This window comes from Homo sapiens, chromosome 6, assembly GCF_000001405.40.
Source record: "Homo sapiens chromosome 6, GRCh38.p14 Primary Assembly".
Taxonomy (NCBI): Eukaryota; Metazoa; Chordata; class Mammalia; order Primates; family Hominidae; genus Homo; species Homo sapiens.
This window is the reverse complement of record NC_000006.12, coordinates 56082256-56106591: the sequence shown is the minus strand read 5'-3', so window position 1 is coordinate 56106591 and position 24336 is coordinate 56082256. Positions and strand designations below refer to the sequence as shown.

General features: G+C 33.9%; 1 protein-coding gene across 14 annotated transcripts in view; it reads left to right on the top strand.

Annotated features, from left to right (window-relative positions):
• Nucleotides 1-24336, top strand: part of COL21A1 (collagen type XXI alpha 1 chain) — a 337539-nt gene that overhangs the window by 287537 nt on the left and 25666 nt on the right. For 12 of the 14 annotated variants that reach the window (NR_134849.2, NR_134850.2, NR_134851.2 and 9 more), the window contains one exon: nucleotides 5067-5120. Coding sequence is in view for 10 of the 14 variants with exons in the window: in NM_001318752.2 (NP_001305681.1) it covers nucleotides 5067-5120 (54 nt within the window). In the remaining 4 variants the exon portion in view is untranslated. Of the gene's footprint in view, nucleotides 1-5066; nucleotides 5121-14929; nucleotides 15096-24336 lie in introns of those variants that run through there. The other 2 variants (NM_001318754.2, NM_001318753.2) reach the window with 1 other exon arrangement.

Sequence of the window (24336 nt, the reverse complement as noted above, 5' to 3'; positions counted from 1 at the left end):
TGGATAGCTTGCTGGTCTTCTTAGTTGTAGATTCTCTCTTCTTTTATGTATAATGAAGTTAGAAGTTTCTTTAGTTAATGAGTGCTGGGTAGGACTTGGTGTGTTTTCTGCTGGGGATGTGGAGGAGTGAGAAACATAATGTGTTGATTTTAGATTCTTGTGGCACATTCACGGGAAGAAGTTGAGTAAGCAGTTATACACAGATAAGAAGCTCCATCTTATTTAGAGAAGGGGAAAGAATGGGATATAGAACAGAGTTGTAAGGAATTATCTTAGATTGAATGAAGGACTCCTGTTTACTGTAATAAAATAAAAGGAATGGATGGGTGCAAATGCAGGTAAGTGTGTTGGTTTGGTGGCAGAATGTTTGTATCCTGTTTTTTCTTAGAATGTTGGCAGAAGGAGAAAAAAGCTTTTGTTGATTGGAGAATATTTTATATAGCAGAAACTTTCTATATACATGAAAAATGTGGCAGAGAAGAGATAAAGGAAATATAGAAGTTGCATTGAAGTCCAGTTGAAGCTGGAAGTTATAATCTGTATGATTATTATAGTATTTTTCCTCCGTAGCCATACTTTGAACGTAAGCATAGGCTGAGGCTATTTTCAGTTTGGTTTACTCAACACTGGAATTTGCATAAACCAGTATGGTGGATGCAGAGTGAGGTAAAGGACAAGAATTTTAGTTAGAAAGTGGTTGAAATAATTAAATGTGGTATTTAAGCTGGATATGCAAAGAACCAAAGACAGAAAAGGAGAGATTATAACAAAAGGCGTAACTCATTGGATATTTCCAAGAGCTTGGCTCTTTTTACAGCACTGTACATGTATTTTCTCATTAATCTCATAAATCATTATCAGTTGTAAGTGGAAAAAATTTATCCTTTCACAGATGAGGAAACAAAGAACTAGAGTAAATAACTTGTCCAAGGTGACATGGCCATAACAACAACCAATGAAAATTCTGCTCACCAACTGGTTGGAAATCATGTTATACCCAAATATTCTCTCCTAGTTATAGAAAATAATGATGAAACTATTGACCCTACTGTTTTTAATGATATCTTAACTAGAATAAAGAAGGATTGGCTTTATGTTTAAAAATACTCATTTTGCCAAAATTATAATGACAAACTATAGCAGTTCAAGTATTGAAATAACATATATTATTTGAAAATAATATAGCCAAAAATACATCGTGAATAAAGGATTGTTAAAACCTCAACTTTTTGGTGGCAGTGGATCTCCCTTTCTGTGCCAAGAGTTGCATAAGGCATTTTCACAAAGGCTCTTATTTTATTTTCCTAAAAAACAAATCTATGAAGTTTGGAGTATTAATGGCATTTTATGCATAACATCAGGTTCAAAGAGAGGACGGGATTTAGTTAAACATGCACAGCTAGTTCCATGGCAGAGTGAGGGTTCCAGGTCTAGTTCGTATGCTCACTGATGTGCATGATACCTTCCAAATGTCCTGTCTGTTTACTTGGTCAGCTAGGAGAAGCTTCCTCAGTCTTACATCTTTAATACATCCGCAGGCATGCTAGTGATTTGTTTACAAATGAAGAATAAACTATGCCATAAGATCAAAGTCAAAATAAAGTGTTTCCTTAACAAAGCAAGGATCTTCCTCAAAATTAAACTATATTTTCATGATCAGTAAACCATACCTTCCACCTGATTTTGAGGATTGCTATAAGCAAACTAAATTACTTTCCATCCTTTTATTTTTTTGGGGTAAATACCAAAGACCACAGCATGAAAGGAAATACACATGGAATGCAAGTTTCACATGCCTGGTTTTAGTTAAATTTCCTTTTTTTTAAAGAACTGTCTTGTTGTGGAATAAATCATTTTTGACGTTAGCTGTAGAAATTAGATTGAGAAATAATGTTAAGCATGACATTTTCTCAATTATGTTATATCAAGAAGGGAGTTAATAACAGAATAGAAAAACAATAAATCGGATATGAGACCATGTTTTATACTTTTTCAAATGCCAAACAAACTGACCTGCACCAGGTTATCCAGGTCATAAAAGTAATCAAGTGATCAGGTTAAGTTCTGGTAACAATATTAAATTTCACAGGCTGGTTGTATCTTGCATTTGATTATTTCAAGGAAAATGCCAAGTAGAAATTATCCTTTCATTTCTTGATGAAACATTATTAAAATCCATTATTAAAAAATGAAGAGAGTGTTCTTAGGTAAAGATGACTGGCCATTATCTTGTAATAACTAACTGCATAATTGTCCAACAGTAAATGCTAGCGCTTTATCCACAAATGTTTTTCCCATTTCCTTTATCCCTTTGAAATAGAACATTGAAGAATAAAGAGTCTGTTCCTCCTTCCTTGATATACTCCAATGATTGTAAAGAAGGGTACTTGTAGTTTTATATTATGTTTGGCACTAGTCTAAGTATTGTAGGTGATTAAAAAAACTCCTATAAATTATGTTTTCTACCTTTAAAAGAATGTGCAAGTCAAGCAAATAACACATATAAACAAGACACCTGCTGAACAACTTAGCATAATAAAATTCAGTGCTAAGTGAAAAGCTATATAATGTTATACTAGTTCATAGAAGAGAGGGATTCATAAGTGCAGAAAGAGTCTGTAAGTCTGTTTTGAGATCTGGGCTAGAGTAGTGTTTCTCAAAGTGTTGTCCAAGACTAGCAGTCTCAGCACCTTCTGTAAACTTATTAGAAATGCAGATTCCAGGGGTTGCCCCAGACCTACCATATCAGGAACTCTGGGTTGGGGTCCACAATCTGCAGTTTAACAAACCTTCCGGGTGATTCAGATGAAGTTAAATTTTGAGAATCACTGCTATAGATAATAAAGAATGTGATATTTTATTCAGTTAATATGTTAAGTGTCTAATATAAAGTAAGAAGAACATAATAAGTTAAATCCTCAAATAATTGTGGAACTTCATTATTGATGAACCTTGCTGATGGCTACTTACGTTTTTAAAACTCCTGATAATTAAAATAAAATGATATTAGGTCAATGGACAGATAGAAAAAAGTAGAGATTTTATAAATCAAAGTAGTCATGATTTTATAAATCAAAGTAGTCATCTAATCATGTATTTTGCCATTACTTTTAATGGCAAAAACTGCAATTACTTTTGCACCAACCTAATAATTTCAAATTAATTGTTTCTACTATTTGGCAAGTGCCTTACCCTCTTTATTTTAAATACAGAAAATTTAACCACAGATTGTTTTATAAGTCACATATGACAGTACCTGGAAGTAGGAGAAGTTAAATGATCTAATGACTTATAGCAGGGCTGGTTCTCAAATGGCTGCATTAGAATCACCTGGAAGAATTATTAACACAGATTGCTGGCCCCCACCCAGAGATTCTGGCTTAATATGCTGCAGTATGGCCTGAAATTTTATATTCTGAAGAAGTTCCCATGTTAAATGAAGAAGTTGATCTTGCCTGGTCTGAGGACCATATTTGAGAACTACTAATAGGAGAGATTCCTTCTGACTATTGATATGAGTGTTAAGTTCAGATAAAATATTGCATTATTTCTTCATAGTATTAGGATCTAACATATCCCTTGTCTTGAATTTTTCAGGCTTTTTAAACTAGCTTTCAAACTAAGTGGATCCAACATTTTTTCCTCCAATATTTTTATATGCTTTTCTGTAGAGCTATTGGATTAGCAGTAACTTCTCTCCCTCTAATTTGGTTAATTTTCAGGAAAGCATTAATCTTTGCTCCTTCTATTCTCAACTAGTGTTTATAAATAAAACTGGTATAGATGAAATATTTGGCTTTAGTTGGCATTTCACAGTTCTAATAAAATGCAGGAATTCATACAAGTGGGAGAACTGTTGTTTATGTAATGTGATATGGTTGAATTTTTTTCTAAGTACTGATTATGTTTGCCAAATTTTAGAGGTGCTTCTGTGCTTTATTTTCTATAATTTTGGGAAATTCATTAGAATATGAAATTATGGATGACAGTGTTATAATATGCTTCAGTGCATTGCATTCTTAGACTCTTTCTCCCTTAAACTTATTTCAACTCAGGTATTTGAGACATTTACGGGAAAAAATGCTTTTATTTTACCTCCTATCTTGCTTTCATCTAGGATAAAATGTTCTTTCTGGTATGAAACAAGTGTGGCAAATTGCTTGCAGAGAACTTTGCTTGTTGTGATGCAGCATTTTGCTGGACAGAAACAAATGCATGGCTCATAATGACTGTTAGATTTCAAAAAGTCTGGGGTGTGTACATGTGTGTATATGTGTCAACAGGCTCTTCCTTGCTATCCTTTATTTTGCTCAGATAGTTTAATAGTTGTACTAATCTGCAGATATTATACATTTTAGGATTATATTCAGCTAATATTTATTGTTTTAGTAGAAGAAGTGTCAGATACATTTGTATTCACTAGCAATTGATTCATTTAGGAAAAAAATTTAGCTTCCAAAACGTAGATGTAAAATAAGATGCTTAACCTGAGCATAGTAATGTAAAGGTATATATCACTAAAAGCAATTATAATTTAACAGCTACCTAAAATATGCATTATAGATGTTTATTTTAAATACGTATATACTAAAGTGCCAGATAATTTCAACTAATAACCTATAAATAACTCCATTCCTAATGAAAGTTTTGTTTTTACTTTAAAATGTAACTCTTTGAAGGCAAGGTCAAATTAGGTCCAACATAGTGATCAATTTTAAAATAAAAATGAAAAAGTATATATGAATAGGACTGATATAGAATATTGGTCACATTTACCTTGGAAGTAAGATGGTCTATTCTCATAAGAATGACTATACAGTACCACAGTTATTTAATAACTTAATTATCTGCCATTATGTACACATTTTTGTTGTTTATATAGTCACTTTATGAATTTCTGAAAAAGTTATTTGATGTCAGGAAAAGTTAATATCAGTAGTCCAGAAGTAATTTTAATTTTTCTGTTTGTATTTAATGTTCTTTAATATGTAATGTTATATATTGTTATTTTGGTAAGCAGACCTCAAAACTGAATTCTCTATTTCTTTTTGTCAAATCATTAAAAGGGAGAAGCAGGATCCCCTGGTGCTCCGGGGCAGGATGGAACACGGGGAGAGCCTGTGAGTACCTTCTCATTTCAGTTCTAAAAGATGAAGTTCTTTTCCTGTTACGAAATCCTTTTTGGTTATTTAAATTCTTCTCTCAGATGCCCTATTATTTGTTCAGTGACTTCCAGATTTTAGATGTTGTAGAAGCTGCTTGTGAAACACCATAAAATATTGAAATGTTGAATCCTCTTTTAGAAACCAGGAAGAATTTTGCAAACAGTGTGAGTCACAAACCACAAGCACTCATGCCCAAAGAAATGCATGGTTAACACAAACATCATGGTCTGTTGCTGAGCCTTCAGTCGATGTCACTTTACCACTCATCTATTGTTTCATAGTATACTCTTTGGGATCTTGTGTTCAATAAAAATCAGGGGTAGAGAAACATGACTAAGAAAGTACTGAATCTGAATCCTAGATATCTACATTTTTAGCACATGTCCCAGGTGATTCTGAACTTCAGGTGAGTTTTAAAAATATAGTTTGCCCCCACATTTTATTCCTACAACTCGTGGCCAACATTTAAATACCAGCAGATCTTATTTTATTCATCAAAGGTACCTACCCTCAAGAAATTTGAAATTTGCCTTGTGCGGAGCTAGGTTAAGAACTGAAGTAATAGCTGAGGTGTATTTGTATCACATTTATCACAAAGTGTTCAGTTGAGATTTCAGAATTTAAATATTGTACATAAGAGGGAGAGAGGTATCACCAAAGCTTCTTAAATAGGGTAGAGGGATTAAACTACTCTGAAAGTTACTTAATAAAATTTTCGTTGAATTTCATCTTGTGTATGATTATGTACTGGGCCAAGTTCTATATAATGCTATTACCTTCCAGAAGCTTATAATTTAATTTGGAAGACTGAAAAAAATGATGCAAATAATTACCAACTCTTTATATTATGTGCCAAATATGAATCTCATATGGAGTCAGAAAGCCAGGGTTTGGAGATGACTACTGCTACATTTCAGCAGTATGAGCTTGGAGAAGTCACTTCACATCCCTGAATATTTTTCTCTAAGTGTGAATAGTGTAGATGCTTATAGTGCTTACTTCATAGGGTTGTTGTGAAGCTTACGTAGGAAATTTTTAAAAATTGTAAAAACATTGCACAAATGCATGGGGCTATTCTAAGTGCTGAAAGAGTATAGGAAGGTAATCCTGTTATTGAGGTGCTTGAAAAAATTTTACCAAGGGTTTGTGCCAGATTTGTTCATGAAAGGATGACTGGGAATCAAAGGAAGACAGGAAAGAGAGAACTCATCTGAATGAAGACACATATGTGAGATGGTTAAAGGTGTGCCCAGGAAATAATGAAATGATCTTAATGAGGTCCTGAATCTGCAGAGAAGGGTCTCTGTTGCGTGTTAGAAAGTAAAGGTAGAAACTTGGCTAGGGCCATAAAATGGAGAACCTTGACTGCAAGTTTGAAAAGTAAACCTTATTCATTTGTCATTGAAGTTTTGTGAGAAAAAAAGAGAACATAGTAAAAAGAACTGTTTTAGAGGCAGTGTATGAGCTCCTGGTGTGTGTGGAATGATTGGAAAGGAGAAGAAACTGGAAACAGGGTGCTAGTTAGCAGGCTCTTTTGACAGACCAGGCATGAAGTAGAAGGCCTCGACTAGGGTATTAATAAGCATGGAGTGGGTTCAATAGGGTAGCATGAGCTCAACATATGTGAGCCATAATTGCTGTTATTTAAGAAAAATTATGAGACTTGGTAACTGGATATAAGACTGGGTGTGATTATTTGTTTATGTTATTGTTTCAGAATATAAAGTAGGTGTGTGTGTGTATGTGGGTGTGCGTGTATGAGGGAAAGAGCATAAGAAACACAAAGAGAGGTGAGAGAAGGAAAGGTTAATGGGAAGAAAAGAAGGAAAAAGAGGAAGAGGGAAATAAGAGATAATAGACATGAGAGCTTGGATATAATTTAGGATGTGAAGGCTGGGTGCAGTGGCTCACGCTTGTAATCCCAGCACTTTGGGAGGCCGAGGCGGCTGGATCACGAGGCCAGGAGATCGAGACCATCCTGGCTAACACGGTGAAACCCCGTCTCTACTAAAAATACAAAAAATTAGCCAGGCGTGGTGGCGGGCGCCTGTAGTCCCAGCTACTCGGAGAGGGGCTGAGGCCGGAGAATGGTGTGAAACCGGGAGGCGGAGCTTGCAGTGAGCCGAGATGGCGCCACTGCACTCCAGCCTGGGCGACAGAGCTAAACTCCCTCTAAAAAAAAAAAAAAAAAAAAAAAAAAAATTTAGTTTGTGACTGTGTTCTAAATGTTTGTGAGTTAGTTATTTGGAATCTGTAATTCATTCTCCCGTAGAAACAATGTTAGAAAGGGCAGACTGACCGGCAAGTCTGTGTAGACCATAATTCAATGTGAGGAGCACGTATTTACGTTGAACATGATACTATTGAAATATCTTCATAAAACCTAAAAAGATAAAAGAAATATTAAACATAGGCCGGGTGCAGTGGCTCACGCCTGTAATCCCAGCACTTTGGGAGGCCGAGGCGGGCGGATCATGAGGGCAGGAGATTGAGACCATCCTGGCTAACACGGTGAAACCCCGTCTCTACTAAAAATACAAAAAATTAGCAGGGCGTGGTGGCACGTGCCTGTAGTCCCAGCTACTCGGGAGGCTGAGGCAGGAGAATCGCTTGAACCTGGGAGGTGGGGGTTGCGGTGAGCCAAGATCGCGCTACTGCACTCCAGCCTGGGCGACAGAGCAAGACCCCGTCTCAAAATATATATATATTTATATATATTTATATATATATTTATATATTTATATATATTTATATATATATTTATATATATTTATATATTTATATATATTTATATATATATTTATATATATTTATATATATTTATATATATATTTATATATTTATATATATTTATATATATTTATATATTTATATATATTTATATATTTATATATATATTTATATATTTATATATATATTTATATATATCTATATATTTATATATGTATATTTATATATATCTATATATTTATATATATATATATATTTATATATATTTATATATTTATATATTTATATATATTTATATATATATTTATATATTTATATATATTTATATATATTCATATATATATTTATATATTTACATATGTGTTTATATATTTATATATATTTATATATTTACATATGTATTTATATATTTATATATATTTATATATTTATATATGTATTTATATATTTATATATATTTATATATTTATATATGTATTTATATATTTATATATATTTATATATTTATATATTTATTTATATATCTATTTATATATATTTATATCTATTTATATATCTATTTATATATATATTTATATATATTTATATATATTTATATATTTATATATATTTATATTTATATATATTTATATATTTATATATATTTATATATATTTATATATTTACATATATATTTATATATATTTATATATTTATATATTTACATATATATTTATATATATTTATATATTTATATATATTTTTATATTTATATATATTTTTATATATTTATATATTTATATATATTTATATATTTATATATTTATATATATTTATATATTTATAGATATTTTTATATATTTATATATATTTATATATTTATATATATTTATATGTATTTATATATATTTATATAGATTTATATATATATTTTTATATATTTATATATATTTATATATATATAAAAAATATAAAATGAGGAGTGCTTAGAAGATGCTTTCCTTTCCCATGGCTGCTTGTTTCTCAGTTTTATCGCCAAGCAGACACTGATTTGGGTTTGTTTTTGCCCTGCCTGCTCCCACTTTATTCAAGACTTATTCCTGTCTAGAGTTGTTGCACTAGAATAATTTACCATTCCAGGGAGTGTGGCCCTTTAGATTTTAACCATTTCCTTCTTTTCTTTTTTTTCTTTCCTCCCAATATTCCTTCCACCCCTGTAATGTTTAGCTTCAGTGGTGAGGGAAACACAGTGACTGCCTCATGGAGGCTTACAGCCTAGTTGGGGAGATAGATGGTAAAAGGATAAGCAAGCAAAAACTAAATTACCAAGTTCAAAAAGATAGACAAACAAGGTGCTGAGGCAAAGAATAATGTGAATGGGGTAGTAGACGTTATTGAGATGAATTTTTTCTCCTAAATCTAGTGGGTAAAAAACTGGGAGTTACTGAGTGAGACTCTCCCACTCCAGCCCAATGGATTGGGGAACACAGGAGAGGTTCCTTTACTTCTTTTCTTCCATTCCCCTCTCTTTCTTGATGAATAGCAAAGAGGAAGCCAAGTTTCCTATGCCAGGAAATGCATCCTGTTAGGAAAGCAATTCATAGGTTAAGTGTCTCAAATTTGCTGATGTCTGGAAACAATTCTTCTGGTCTGTATTTTCTTCCAAATAAGAACAGATAGCGTAACAAGCTATTTTTTTTTTAACAATTAATGAAAACTTGGTTTTTATTATGCTGTGCAAATGGATTCTTATCATTTGTGGAAAAGCTTTGAAAATAGAAAAAAAATCCATAAAGTTTATATATTTTGTGACACAAAGAAATAAACATTCTTCCATTGTGTGGAAATAATGGTTTTAAGTAGTTGTAATAAATGACTTGGCTCTACTATAAAGGGCATATTCACTTTATTCTATAATGTGGCAGCCAAGAAAATTAATGGAGTTTCACATGGAAGGACAGAAGCTCTTGGAAAAATGCTTTAAAGCTAATTAAACACAGCTTATGTCAGTTTAATGGTGATTCATCCCTGTAAGCAGATTGATACATATGAACACTAACTCCCAGAATTAAAATTAATGGCTAGCACTATAATTTATTAGGAAATGATTATATTGCTTCAAAATACAAGTACATTCACATGTCAGTACTTTGAATTTGAAAGCTAGTATTTGTCAATCCTAAAAGTAATTTACTTTCTAAGTAGTAAATTATACCTAATTAACTTCAATTCAGGAAACTGTAAACTCAGGTCTAACACCAGATAGATTTATTATAACTTGTTTCAACCATGAATTGCTATGTTTAAAGATTATATTCTTTCAATTATTCAGCAGTATTTACTGAGTGTCTACTTTGTGCCAGACATTGTACTAATTGAGGAGAATATGAAGATTAATTAATCATGGCCTGGCCATCAAGGAGTCAAATGAGCCAATAGATGGCAACACAGTATGAATGGTATGAACATAGGTATGGGGGGAGCCTGAAAGGCTGTGGAAGATGTGTATAACCTTACATGAGGCTGTAGGCATTGTCGAAAGGTATGCATTGTTTAAAAAAAAAAAATGCAGGCCAGACATGGTGGCCCATGCCTGTAATCCCAGCATTTTGGGAGGCCAAGGCAGGTGGATTACTTGAGGTCAGGAGTTTGAGACCAGCCTGGCAAACATGGTGAAATCCCATCTCTACTAAAAATAAAAAAATCAGCCAGGCGTGGTGGTGGGCGCCTGTAATCCCACCTACTCGGGAGGCTGTGGCAGGAGAATTGCTTGAACCTGGAAGGTGGAGACTGCAGTGAGCCAAGATCATGCCACTGCACTCCAGCCTGGGTGACAGAGTGAGACTCTGTCTCAAAAGAAACAAAAACAAAAAAACCAATATTATGAGATATAATTCACATACAGTTCACCTATTTAAAATGCATAGGGATGGCTTCTTAAAAACACAACTCTCTTGGCCAAATTCTGGATGATAAATATGAGTGTGCTAGTTGTTTGGCCTGGCAAGGCAGGAGTGTGTAGCATGCATGTTCCAAAATATAGAGGCAGAAGAAAGCATACTCTGAGAAGAACTGACAGTAGTTGAGGCTGCCATGCGGTACATGAAAGGGAAGTGACAGAAACAGTAGGTGAGCTTTTAGGGATAGATAGAGGCCAAACCAGGAAGGGCTTTAGGTGTCTGTGCTGTTTGCACTTAATTCTGAGAGTAATGGGAGCCCTACTTCCCTACTTAAAACTTTTGACTGGAAGCAGTTAGTGAGCTCTGTCACCTCTAGTAACAACTAAAGTGAGAGTGGTCAGAGTTGGGAGGGGGAGAGTGGGACGGATTTGAAATGAACTAAACAGGTACTAGCAGGGCTTGAGGATCCATTAGATGCGGGTAAGATAAGAGATGACTCTTCAAAAGTCTTACTGCATGGATGGATACAGAGGAACACCACACAGTAAACAGGGAATAGAACACAAAGAACCAGTTTTGGCTAGTGCAAGTGATCCTAAAGTATGTTTAAATGGAACATATCTAAATAATAACAAAGGCATTTAAAGAGAAGGTCTATATTTTGGGATAATTAGAAAATAATAGGCTTGTAAAAATAGAAATTAATAAAATTTCAATAAAAAGTTGTGGGTCAGATCCAAGGAAATTTTAGATGAATTTCTGTAAATACTAGTGGTAGTAGGTTAAAAAATGCCTCCCCCTCAGAAATATCAGATCTTAACTTCTGAAACCTGTAAATATGGTTTTATTTGGATAAAAAGGTCTTTGTAGAAATGATTAAGTTAAAGATCTTCTGATGGGGAGATTATCTGGGATTTTCTGGTGGGCATGAACCAGTCAGTTGAAAGTTCAGAGCAACACTGAAGTTTCCTAGAGAAAGAAGAAATTCTCTCCATGGATTACAGCGTCAGCTCCTGTGTGAGAGTTTCCAACTTACACCTCCTAATTGCCTGTCTCATGGATTGGTATTTGCCTAGCCAGTCCCCACTCTTGCATAAACCAATACTTTGCAACAAATCTCTGCCATGTATATGTGTGTATACATACATTCATATATCTCAGCTGGTTCTGTTTCTCTGCTGGAACCCTGACTGATGCAGATTTTGTTTCCGGGAGTAAGTACCTAAGTACCTAAAATGTAGAGTGGCTTGGGAACTGGGTAATGTATAGAGGCTGTAAGAATTTTGAGACACATGGTAGAAGTAGTCTATATTGCCTTGAACAGACTACTGGTAGACATATGAATGTTAAAGATTGATAGTGAGGGCTCAGTGAAGAAGTGGAAGTCATGTGGAGAAAGCCTTTCTCATCTTAGAAAATATGTATAGCATCATCAACACACTGTTGCTAGATGAATGGACATTAAAGACACTGTTGATAAAGGAGGAAAGAGGAACATGCTGTAGGAAACTGGAAGAATAGTGACACCTTGTCATAAAGTGGCAGAAAATTTAGCTAAATGATGTCCTGCAGTTGTGTGGAAAGTAAGACTTCTAAGTGATGAACTTGTATATTTAGCTGACGAGATTGCCAAGCAAAGTGCTGAAGATAGAGCATGATTTTTTTTTTCTTACTGCTTATAGTAAAGTGTGAGGAGAAAAAGATATTTGAGGAAAGAACTGTTAAGCAAAAAGGAGCCAGCACTTGGTGATTTGGGAAATATCCTGCTTATATAGATTACAAAAGATGTTAAAATTAGCAGATTCACTGTTACGCAAGCATGCTGGAAAAAAGGTTAAGGTTGTGGCTAGACAAAGTTTGCTAGTGCAAAAGAGATTAGGTACAGGACTCATGAATCCATTCAACCAGCCCAGTGGAAGCCACATATAAAGATATGAGACTATCCAGGAAAAACCTGGGGAGGAGCCTCTTGTCTAATTGTGTAAATCCTCATTATATATACAGGAAACTTACAAGGTTTTGATAATGTTATATCAGCAGAAACTCTGCCAGTTTGGAATGAAAGGTACAGAGACAAGACAAAGTGAGGGAAGGCTGTTGGACGCTCAAAATTTTTATAGGTAGGAAGCAGGCTGATAAAACTACTCAACTTCAATTATGTACTATCTTTCAAGTAAAAAAGAATAGTGGTTCCAAGGCTGGCAGGGCCTCAAGCCCAGAGGGGTATTCCTAGGTCATGAAATCTGATGGAATTTTTTCTGCTGGATTCAACATTGCAGAGGGTCAGCGACCTTTTCTTCTTTTTGAATGGGTATGTTGATAACTTATCCTTTGCCTGTCTTAACATCGTAATCGGGAAATAGATAACTTGCTCTGTAGTCTATAGGTTCACAGATGGAAAGGGATATTGTCCTAGGATGGATCATACCCATACCTGATTTAGATAACAAGATTTAGGACTTCAGAGCGATTTATTAATTTAGATAAGAATTTGAAATTCACTGTAAATTGTTGAGACTTTTGTGGACATTGGATTGGGGTGGATGTATACTGTATGTGGGATGAATGTGAATCTTTGAAGGCCAGAGGGTAGACTGTGTCAGGCTGAAAATTACCCTTCCCCGAGACATCAGCTCTTAATCCCCAGAATCTGTAAATATTACCTTATTTGAAAAAAAGGTCTTTTGTAGATATGAATGAGTATCTTGTCATAGGGAGATTATCTTGGCTTATCCCAGTGGACCCTAAATGTCACACTAGTGTCCTTGTAAGAGAGAGGCAGAGGAAAATTTCACATAGGGAAGAGGAGGGAGTAATGAGACCATGGTGGCTAAGATTGGAGTGATGTATCCACAAGCCAAAGAATGCTGGCACTGACCAAAAATTGAGAAAGGCAAGTAATGGAATCTTCCCTTGAGCTTCTGGGGGACACACAGCCCTGAAAAGACTTTGACTTCAGACTTGTGCATTCCAGAACTGTGAGGGAATAAAATTCTGTTGTGTAAACCAAGTTTGTGGTAATTTGTTACAGTAGCTATTGGAAACTAGTACACTAGGCTTTTCATTTAGTCTAATTCTTAATCATTTTATGTAATGAACCTATATAAAAATGTATGTGAGTATGTATTGGTGTATATTGCAAACTGTTGGTAGCATATGTGTTGATCAAAAATATTTGGGCTTCAGCAAGTCAATAAACAAGTCTGTTTCAATGACAATTTGAAAGCAAGACTCTTCAGTCAATATTTTCTATACTATCAATTTTGTTAAATTATCATGTATTTTTAAAAACTTAATTTGTCTATTTCTCATTTTCCTACATTTTTCATTGTTGTATTTAGTAACTTTTAGCCCATATTTCTTCTCTGTGTTATCATATTGTAAATTTGAAGCAATTAAATGGATGATACTTAATGTGCTATATATAATAGTTAAACAATATATAAATATGTATGCGTAAAAAAGGATCTGCATGGATACAAATCGTATGGTTTAATTATGTTTCAATTACTTCGCTTATTTTTCCCCAGTTGGGTTTTTGTTGTCTGTTATGTTGCATTTTTCTTGCCTTTATTTTATGTTCTCCCATGAGCATAAACATAATAAACATAAACATATGTTCTCCCATGAGCATAAACAAAAATAATTATTGTTTTTGTACTATAACAACAATTGAGGCCTAGATTTTGAGTGCTTTTTAGTGTTTTTTTTTCTTTTAAAAGATGCCAACTTTGCTAGACTACATTTTGGTTTTTATTCTAAGAATAAAGGACAAGATTGCTTCAAAGAATCCTTAATATTTTGGAAATTTCTTTTCCTAACTTAATATTTTGGAATTTTCTTTTCCTAAAATCACTCTGATTTTATCTTGGGCAGCTAGGTGGATGGTGAGGACAGAGCAACATGAGGGCAACAGTAGAATAAATTTACCAGTAGTTGAAAAAACCGTAACAGAAAATACTCATTTTCAACTGAATTCAATGTTAGACCAAGTTATCATGTTGACGAGTTAGTCTTCTTTGGTCAATTCTTGCCAACCAAATTATCTGCAGAATAGTTTCCACTGCTGCTTTGTCATAGCTATTTTTGTCCTGGTGCTCAATCCTGATGGCATGTTGTATTTGGTGTTAACATTTTCATCAGGCAATCTAAATCATTTGCTTTCTAGTTCTCTGCTCACCAGCTAGCCCCATTGTGTACAGGGAGCCTTATGGCTCACAGTGAAAATTTGTAGGCAGGGACTGGGTTCTACTGTGAGCTGAGATCCCTGGAGCTCCATGAAAAGGAGAAAAAGAATGCCGTGTTTCCTGGATCTATGGAGGTGAGTGCATATTTCTTAATGAAGGATGGCCTTAGCAGTTTTATTTTGGAAATGTTTGCTGTCTCATTTTTCCAGGAATAAAGACATGGGGATCACTGTAGTGTAGTTGAAACACTGGCTCATAGAGGCTTTTATTGTTTCCTTTCCTCATGCCTTTCAAATTCTTGCTTAACCACATGTTATGCTTGTCTTTATGATGTAATGTTTACTGCTGAGCCAGTCCAAGTTACCATGTACTTAAGAGACAAGTAGATCTTTTGTTTAATCACCTTTTCTGCAGCGTGATTATTTGGCATATCAGTTTTATGCATATATGCAGAAGACATGCATAAAATTATTGGGGAACATTAATGATGAATTGCTGTGATAATTTCCCATGTGGAATTACCAATCTACTTTGTGATGCTAGTAAAGTGGAGGTATCTTTATTTGCCTGCTTGACTATATTTTTTATTTAGATTGAAAAGAAAGAGGAGAAAAACCCACTAGTTCTATTATTGTTTTTACTTGATTTGCAATTGTATGGTAAGATGTTTCAGTCTTTTGTACAGATTTGTAATACTTTTTCTCACCCCTTTTTCAGGCTCCAGGAGTGGTACATACCAAGTATGTGCCGAGTAAACCAACTTTAACTTGAAACTCATATATCTGCTATTACAAATTTCACACAGCAGTTCTTAGTGTGAAGGCAACCCACATGTAACAATTTGGATAGTACAATTTGAAAATTCAATTGTATTTATTATTGTAATAATGTAATTATGTATATAATTATTATAAAACAATATTACTACATAAAACTATTATAATAATTTATTGTCATAGTAATTATGTTTTAAAATCTAATTGAGAATAACTCTTATAATGCATTTTGAAATAGGCTTTATCTAAAATAATGTAAATGCTCAGTTTATCTGTAGGATTGACTAAATTTGTAAGCAATATCTGTAACTTTTTGGTCTTCTACAATATGACAGTTGGCAATGTAGTGACTGTGAAAATATTGTGTCATTAATTTTGACCTCACACACAAATGTTGGCTCATTATCTGTACAAATTAGTTAATAAAGTCCCACCAGGTTTAATCACAGATCTGTTTTATTCTTTCCTATCATAAATGACATAAATATCATTGACATAGCAAAACTGGACTACCATCAAACAATAACATAAAGTAACATTGTTGATTTTAAATTTAGAAGCTCTGTGTCTACGGCACTGATCATTTTTTTGTGTTGTTCTAAGAAATCTTTTTTTCTTCGATGGAGTCTTGCTCTGTTGCCAGGCTGGAGTGCAGTGGCACGATCTTGACTCACTGCAACCTCTGCCTCCTGGGTTCAAGCAATTCTCCTGCCTCAGCCTCCTGAGTAGCTGAGACTACAGGCGCGTGCCACCATGCCCAGCTAATTTTTGTATTTTAGTAGAGACAGGGTTTCACCATTTTGGCCAGGATGGTCTTGATCTCTTGACATCATGATCCGCCCTCCTCAGCCTCCCAAAGTGCTGGGATTACAGGCGTGAGCCACTGCGCCCAGCCAGAAGTCCTTTAAATTATTGTTATTGTAAGAACCACTGATAAGCATTAACGTATTTTATTTGATTTTTTCTCTTTTCTATCCATTTCTTTATAATTTGAAAGAGGCTTTATTGAGCCCTGAAATTTCAAGAGGAATAAATGCAATTGCAAATATGAGATGATGTATGATTAATTCTTAGAATGGATAACATATCCTCTAAGTAAATAGAATCTCATTATTGTTTATGTAGGCTCAGTAGTCTCACTGGTATGGGGACTGATTATATTCATCTCTGATTTGAAGAGAATGGATGAGAGGAAACTTACCATGTATACAGGATATCAAGTCTAACTTTTATGGGTTGATGTCATGTAAACAGACTTTGACTTTAACAATATGGATTTGAATTTTTTGGGTCCACTTATATGTGGATTTTTTTCAATACATATAGTGAAAAATTTTTTTGGAACGTTTTGACAGTTTTAAAAACTTGTAGATGAACCATGTTGCATAGAAATATTTTTTTAAAATAAAAAGTTATGCCATGAGTGCAAAAAATATATATAGATGTTAGTCTGTATTATTTACTATAATAAAAATTTAAAATTGATCACAACTTACATACACAAACATTTACAGAACATACATAGTGCCATTTGCAGTTGAGATAAATGTATACAAATGTAAAGATGCAATATTAAATCATAACTGCCTAAAATTAACTGTAGTGCATATTGTATTACTGTAATAATTTCATAGCCACCTCCTGTTGCTATTTTGGTGAGCTCAACTGTTGCAGGTATCAGCTTAAAATGCCATGTGATGCTAATCATCTCCATGGGAGCAGTTTGTCTTTCCAATAAATTGTGTATTACAGTAAAAAGTGATCTCAGCCGAGTGTGGTGGTTCAAGCCTGTAACCCCAGCATTTTGGGAGTTAAGGGGGGCGGACCACTTGACCAAGCCCAGGAGTTTGAGACTAGCCTGGGTAGCATCGCAAAACCCCATCTCTACAAAACATACAAAAAATTAGCCAGATGTGGTGATGTGTGCCTAGTGCCAGCTACTCAGGAGGCTGAGGTGGGGGGATCACCTGAGCCTGGGAGGTCGAGGCCCCATTCAGCAGAGATCACTCCACTGTACTCCAGCCTGGGTGGTAGAGTGAGTGAGACACTATCTCAAAGAAAAAGATCTCTTGTGGTTTTTTGCGTATTTTTCATTGTTTAGTGCAATACTGTAAACTCTGAATAACATCATGAAACACATAGGAAGTGCCACTAGTGATTTTGGAAGTGCTCCCAAAAAGCAGAAAAAAAGTTGTGACATTATAAGAAAAGGTTTTATTGCTTGATATGTACCATAGATTGAGGTCTGCTGCTGCAATTGCCCACCATTTTGAGATAATACAGTGTAAGGACCATTGTAAAAAAAAGAAAAGGAAATTTGTGAAACTGTTGCTGCAGCTATGCTGGCAGGTGCAAAAACTTTGTACTTTTTGCAAAATTCCTTTTTGTCTCATATTGAAAATTCAGCTTTTATGTGAATGCAGGATTGCTATAAGAAAGGCATACTAATAGACACAAATATGATTTTTAAAGAGCAAAATTATTTTTTTTTGAGATGGAGTCTCACTCTGTTGCCCAGGCTGGAGTGCAGTGGCGCAATCTCAGCTCACTGCAACCTCCACCTCCCGGGGTCAAGCAATTCTCCTGCTTCAGCCTCCTCAGTAGCTGAGATTATAGGCATGTGCCACCATGCCCAGCTAATTTTTGTATTTTTAGTAGAGACGGGGTTTCACCATGTTGGCCAGGCTGGTCTTGAAGTCCTGACCTCAGGTGATCCACCCACCTCGGCCTCCCAAAGTGCTAGGATTACAGGTGTGAGCCACTGTGCCCGGCCTAAAAAGCAAAATTATTATATGATAAATTAAAGCAAAACAAAGATGAAGAATTTATCAATTCTCCAGCTTTTTCAAACAAAAGCTGGAGAATTTAATGTCAGCAAAGGATGGTTTGATAATTTTAAAAACAGGTTTGGCTTAAAAATTGTCAAACACAGGAGAAGCAGCTTCTGCCAACAAAGCAGCAGCACAAGCATTTCCAGATGCCACTAAGAATCTCATTGAGGAGAAATGGATATCTTCCTGAACAAATTTTTAATGCAGATAGAATTGTCCTACTCTGGAAGAAAGAAATGCCACAAAGGACATTTATTAGTAAGGAAGAGAAACAAGCCCCAGGATTTAAGTCAGGAAAGGATAGGCTAACTGTACTGTTTTGTACAAATGCAGTTGGGTTTATAATCAGGACTTCCCTTATCTTTAGAGCTGTTAACTCCCAAGCCTTGAAGGGAAACTATAAACACCAGCTGGCAGTCTTTTGGTTGTATAACAAGAAAGCCTGGATGACAGAATGCTTTTTCTGGATTGGTTCCATCAATGCTTTGTCCCTGAAATCAGGAAGTACATTGCTAGTAAGGGACTGCATTTTAAAGTTCTTTTGATATTAGACAATGTCTCCAGCCACCCAGAACCCCATGAGTTCAATACTGAAGACATCTGAATGGTCTACTTGCCCCCTAAGACAATGTATCTAATTCAGCCTCTAGATTGTATAATAAGGAGGACCTTTAAAGCTTATTACACATGGTATTGTATGGAAAGGTTGTCAATGCTATAGAAGAGAACCCCAGCAGAGAGAATGTCATGAAAGTCTGGAAGAATTACACCACTGACGATGCTGTCATTGTTACAGAAAAAGCCATGAAGCCTGAAACATAAAATTCTACTGGAGAAAACTGTGTCTAAATGTTGTACATGATCTTATGACACAACCAATCAGGGAAATCACAAAAGAGATTGTGGATATGGCAAAACAAAACAAAACAAAACAAAACAAAACAAAACAAAACAAAACAAAAGGTGAAGGGACAAGGGTCCCAAGATATGGATCGTGGAGAGATTCAAGAGGTAACAGACACCAAATCAGAGGAATTAACAGAAGACAACTTGATGGTGATGAGTGGCTCCAAACCAGTGCCAGACTATGGGAAGAAGACAGAGAAGAAGCAATGCCAGAAAACAAATTGACATTAGACAAGCTGGCAGAATGGTTCGGATTATTTAAGACTGCTTTTGACTTCTTTTACGGCATGGACACTTCTATGATATGGGTACTGACACTGAAGCAAATAGTGGAAGAAGGATTGCTGCCTTATAGGAACCTTTCTAGATAAATGAAAAGCAAAAAATCGGGCAGAAATTACAGTGTGCTTTCACAAAATTACACCCAGTGCGCCTGCCTTTCCTGCTTCCCCTTTTACCCCTTCCACATCTGTCTCTGTCACCCCTTGAGACAGCAAGACCAACCCCTCCTCTTCTTCTTCCTCAGCCTACTTAACATGAAGATGATGAGGGTGAAGACCTTTATGATGATCCACTTCCACTTAATGAATAGTAGATATATTTTCTCTTCCATATTATCTTAATAACATTTGCTTTTCTCTAGTTTCTTTATTGTAATAATATAGTATACAATACATATAACATCCAAAACACGTATTAATTGACTGTTTATGTTATTGGTAATGCTTTCAGCCAAAACTAGGCTATTAATAGTTACATTTTGGGGGAGTCAAAATTTAACCGTGGATTTTCAACTGTGCAATGGTTTGGCACCACTAACCCCTGTGTAGTTCAAGGGTCAACTGTATATAAAAATCGTGTGGTGGGTTAAAACTCCTAAAATCCATTAAAGATAAGCACATTTAATCATGACAGGCAGAGTGTTAAGAATTTTGTTCAAAGGTTATAGCTTGGTGGAAAAATAATGTATATGTAATGGTTTTTAAGCAGAGGCATAAAATGGATTATTTTAAAATTTAATTAGTAGATAATCGTAAATTTAAAACCCCTGATGACAATCCAAGCTTAATACCTATAATACAGATAGTTTTCAGGAGAGTCTCACTTATATATAAATAATTTAGATATTTTTATATATAATATAAAATATATGAGACTATATGTAAATGAGAATCTTGAAAATTATCTGTATTATGAATATAAATATATTTATATATAAATAAATGATACTCTCTTGGAAATGATCTGTATATCTCTTGAAAAAAATATATAAAGAACACTATTTCTCAAGCTCTGATCCACAGAGTACCTCAAAATTACTAGAAATGCCTATTAAAATTCAGTTTTCTAGGGGCCATTCTGCTCCTGATAAATCAAAATTTGGGGTCAAAGCCCAAGAAACTAGATTTTTAATGGCAACTGCATGTGAGTCTGATGTAAAGTTTAATAACTACTGATATAGAGACTTTGAAACAAGTAGATCAAAAAGAGGAATATGAACACAGTAGGAAGACAAAAGTTACCTACTGGAGGAGAACAATCAGTTTTAGTGATATTGGTACAAGAAAAGAATTCTGACATTTTAATATTTTTCAGACCATACATGCTTTAATATGTATTTGTCTGGTTAAATAAGCTTTGATGTTGTCATAAATGATAATATGAAATTATATTTCCAAATGGGTTCGGTTTCCTTTGCTTATTTATAATATTTTGTGTTTTGTTTATTGACAAAAATAACAAGAACAAATCTATTTTGTAAAACAAAAATACATCTATATGCAATTGAAGAGGACTAAACTTGCTTATATGAGAGAGGTAAATCCTTACAAAGATAGAAATTAGATAACTTAAATTTATTAGTTTTATTATACCTTCAATTTTAATGAAATTTTTAGGTTATTATTTTTTCCAGATTTAAAAAATTTTATGTAATAGACAAAAGTAACAATCTGTAATTATAGATCTAATATATTACCATTTTTTGTTTTAGAAAAGTTCTATGACTGTGGGAAAATGGGGGAAATGGTGCCTGGGAAAGCTGATTTTGCCAAATGTCGAATTCCTAGCTCTCCTGTGAAAGAAAGTGCTCCTTAAACACAGCATTATCTTTCCCTGAGCAATATGAATGCCTTTGTCCAACACAGTGTACTTAGCAATATGTGAAAATTATCTGCAAGAATAACTCCCAAGGCATGAAAACTTAGCAAATGTGTTACACAGGGAGATCATAGCAGGGAGGTGTATTAAGATCTCCCCAGTATTGATTTCTGAGTCTGCAGTATAATTCTTTCCAGTTGTTCTAGTTCTCTTACCAAATGATAGCCGCAACCTTTAATATCTTTACTTTTTTATTTTGAAAGACCAACGTTTAACAGTAATTTCTTGAATGATTTAAATGTGAGGAAAATAACTCTTAGACATTTTTTGAGAACTTTTTAAGACAAGAAATTTGTGTGGGCCAACTTTTCATTTGTTTATTATTATGTATTGTATATTTGACTACATTTTATTAGTTTTATCTAATCCTTTTGTTCATTATTTATCACTTCTTACATATATTTATTTACTTAGTTTATCTTAAGTACTCAAAAAGTATAGAAGTTGTGTTGTAAATTTGAGTCTGCTTTCACTTACCCAAATTCCATTCCCATTCCCAGCAGTAACAATTGTTACTCATTTAATGAGATTATGTCTGGACTTTTTCTTTACAAATACATAAGAACATACACAATTTTTTTAAACAACAAATTGGATCCACTGAAACTTTTATTTAACTTTGTAATATGAACATTTACCATATAAGGTTATAAGACAATATAAAATCTATCTCATTTCATTTATAGCATAGCTATAAAGCAATCTAATCTCTCTTATTAATGTTTTTTATATATATATATTTTTTCTGCATACTTAGGCAATATTTTCCCCAAGGGATATATCCCTATAAGTGTGACTACTGGTTTAAAATATAAATTATGGTTTATTCCTGAATTTAAGTAGAAATGTCTAGTGTTTCACCAAATCTGATGTTTAAAATGGGTTTCTGATTGATTCAGACTTTGGTTTCAAATATTAGTTCTATTCCTAGATTATTGGGAGTTTTCACAAATATTGCATGATAAATTTTTAATAATGAATCTTTTGAGATGATTTTGTGTGTTTTTCTTCTAAATTGTTAATATGGGAATGTTATTAGTATAGTATATTATACGGATATATTTCTTTATATTGGACATTTCTTGCATGCTGAGACAAACCCTACTTAGCCATGCTCTACTTTTGTTCTGACACATGGCTATATTTATCTTACTAGCCTTATAGTAAGTCCATTTGCATTTATTTTAACAAATTACATCAGCTTGTAGATTTCTTTTTTAGGTATTATTATTGACTTAGTATTAGTAGCTTCATAATTTGAATTTAGATGATCATCCTTTTAATGCCTTGGAGGAATTTAAATTACATAGAAACTATCTGGTCCTCAGATATTAGATAATATTTCTGTGGTAGGCAAAATATGACAACTCCCTCCTCTCCCCAAAGATAGCCATAATTTAATCCCTGGAACCTGGTACTTTCCACAGCAAAGAGATTTTGTAGATGTGATTAAGGTTAATGTCCTTGAGATGGAAATTTTATTCCAGATTATCTAAGGAGGCCCAATCTGATCATGAGTAATTGAAAGTGGAAAAATACAGAGCAGGAATGGGGCAAAAAGATGTGACTGAAGAAGGACCTGACCCATATGAAGATAGAGAAAATGAAGGATAGATTCCTTGGGGCTGTAAACCAAGGAATGTAGTTGCCCCTGGAAGCTGGAAATGGACCTCAAGTTTACAGCCAGTAAGAAAATGGCTACCTTGGTCCTACAGCTGCAAGAAACAGAATTCTGCCAATAACCTGAATGCACAGGAAGCAGATTCTTTCCGAGAGACTCCAGAAAGGGGTGCAGCATTGCTGATTCTTGGAATTTAGCCCTGTGAGACCCATGCTGGACTTCTGACCCACAGAACTGTAAGATAATAAATGTGTGTTGTTTTAATTGCACTAAATATGTGGTCATTGGTTATGAATCAATAGAAAACATATTTAATTTTTTTTACTTTAATCAATGCTTGTCAATTGTTTCATTATTTTTATAAGAAAATGGGATTTATATTATATAAACATAAAATTCACAATGGGCTGTGTTATGCAATAACTAGTATAGAGATTTAGATGGAATAGCATACACATTTCAAAAATATGAGGTTATAAATAAGATATAGAAGATATTAGATTAGATACAATTTTAAATACCTAGTTATTTTTATCGTATAAATTAAGTTTAAAAATTCACTTATTAGTGTGTTTTCTTTATCAAACTAATTTCATTTTTTATTTGGTGGGGATGGTTAATGGTGCTTTAAAATATTTTGGTATGATTACCTCTATTATATATAAAATTCAAAAAAAATAGTAGAATTTTCCGGTTTCTCTGGAAAAGATTTAACTTCTATTTTAACTTCTATTCAACACCAAGTTAAAGTTTCTAAAGTTAAAAAGGGTCTTTGAAAAATTCACTTTTAGTTTTCTTCTTAATGAGAAATTGACCATAATTTGTTTTGAGTTATGTAGTAACAAAAAATGTACCCCAAAAATGTGGTAGGTACTTTTCAGGCTTTCAGAGGATCAGAGCCCATTTTAGAACAACTCTGGTATTATTTTGGAAATTTCTCTTTCAAAATGGAATTGATTTTAAGTTTTACATATGTCTATACATACATGCTTGTTTGTTTGTTTGTTTGTTTTAACACATCCATGTATTTCATATGCATTTCACTTACTGATATAAAGGGGTAGGTGGTTTTCCTGGACCT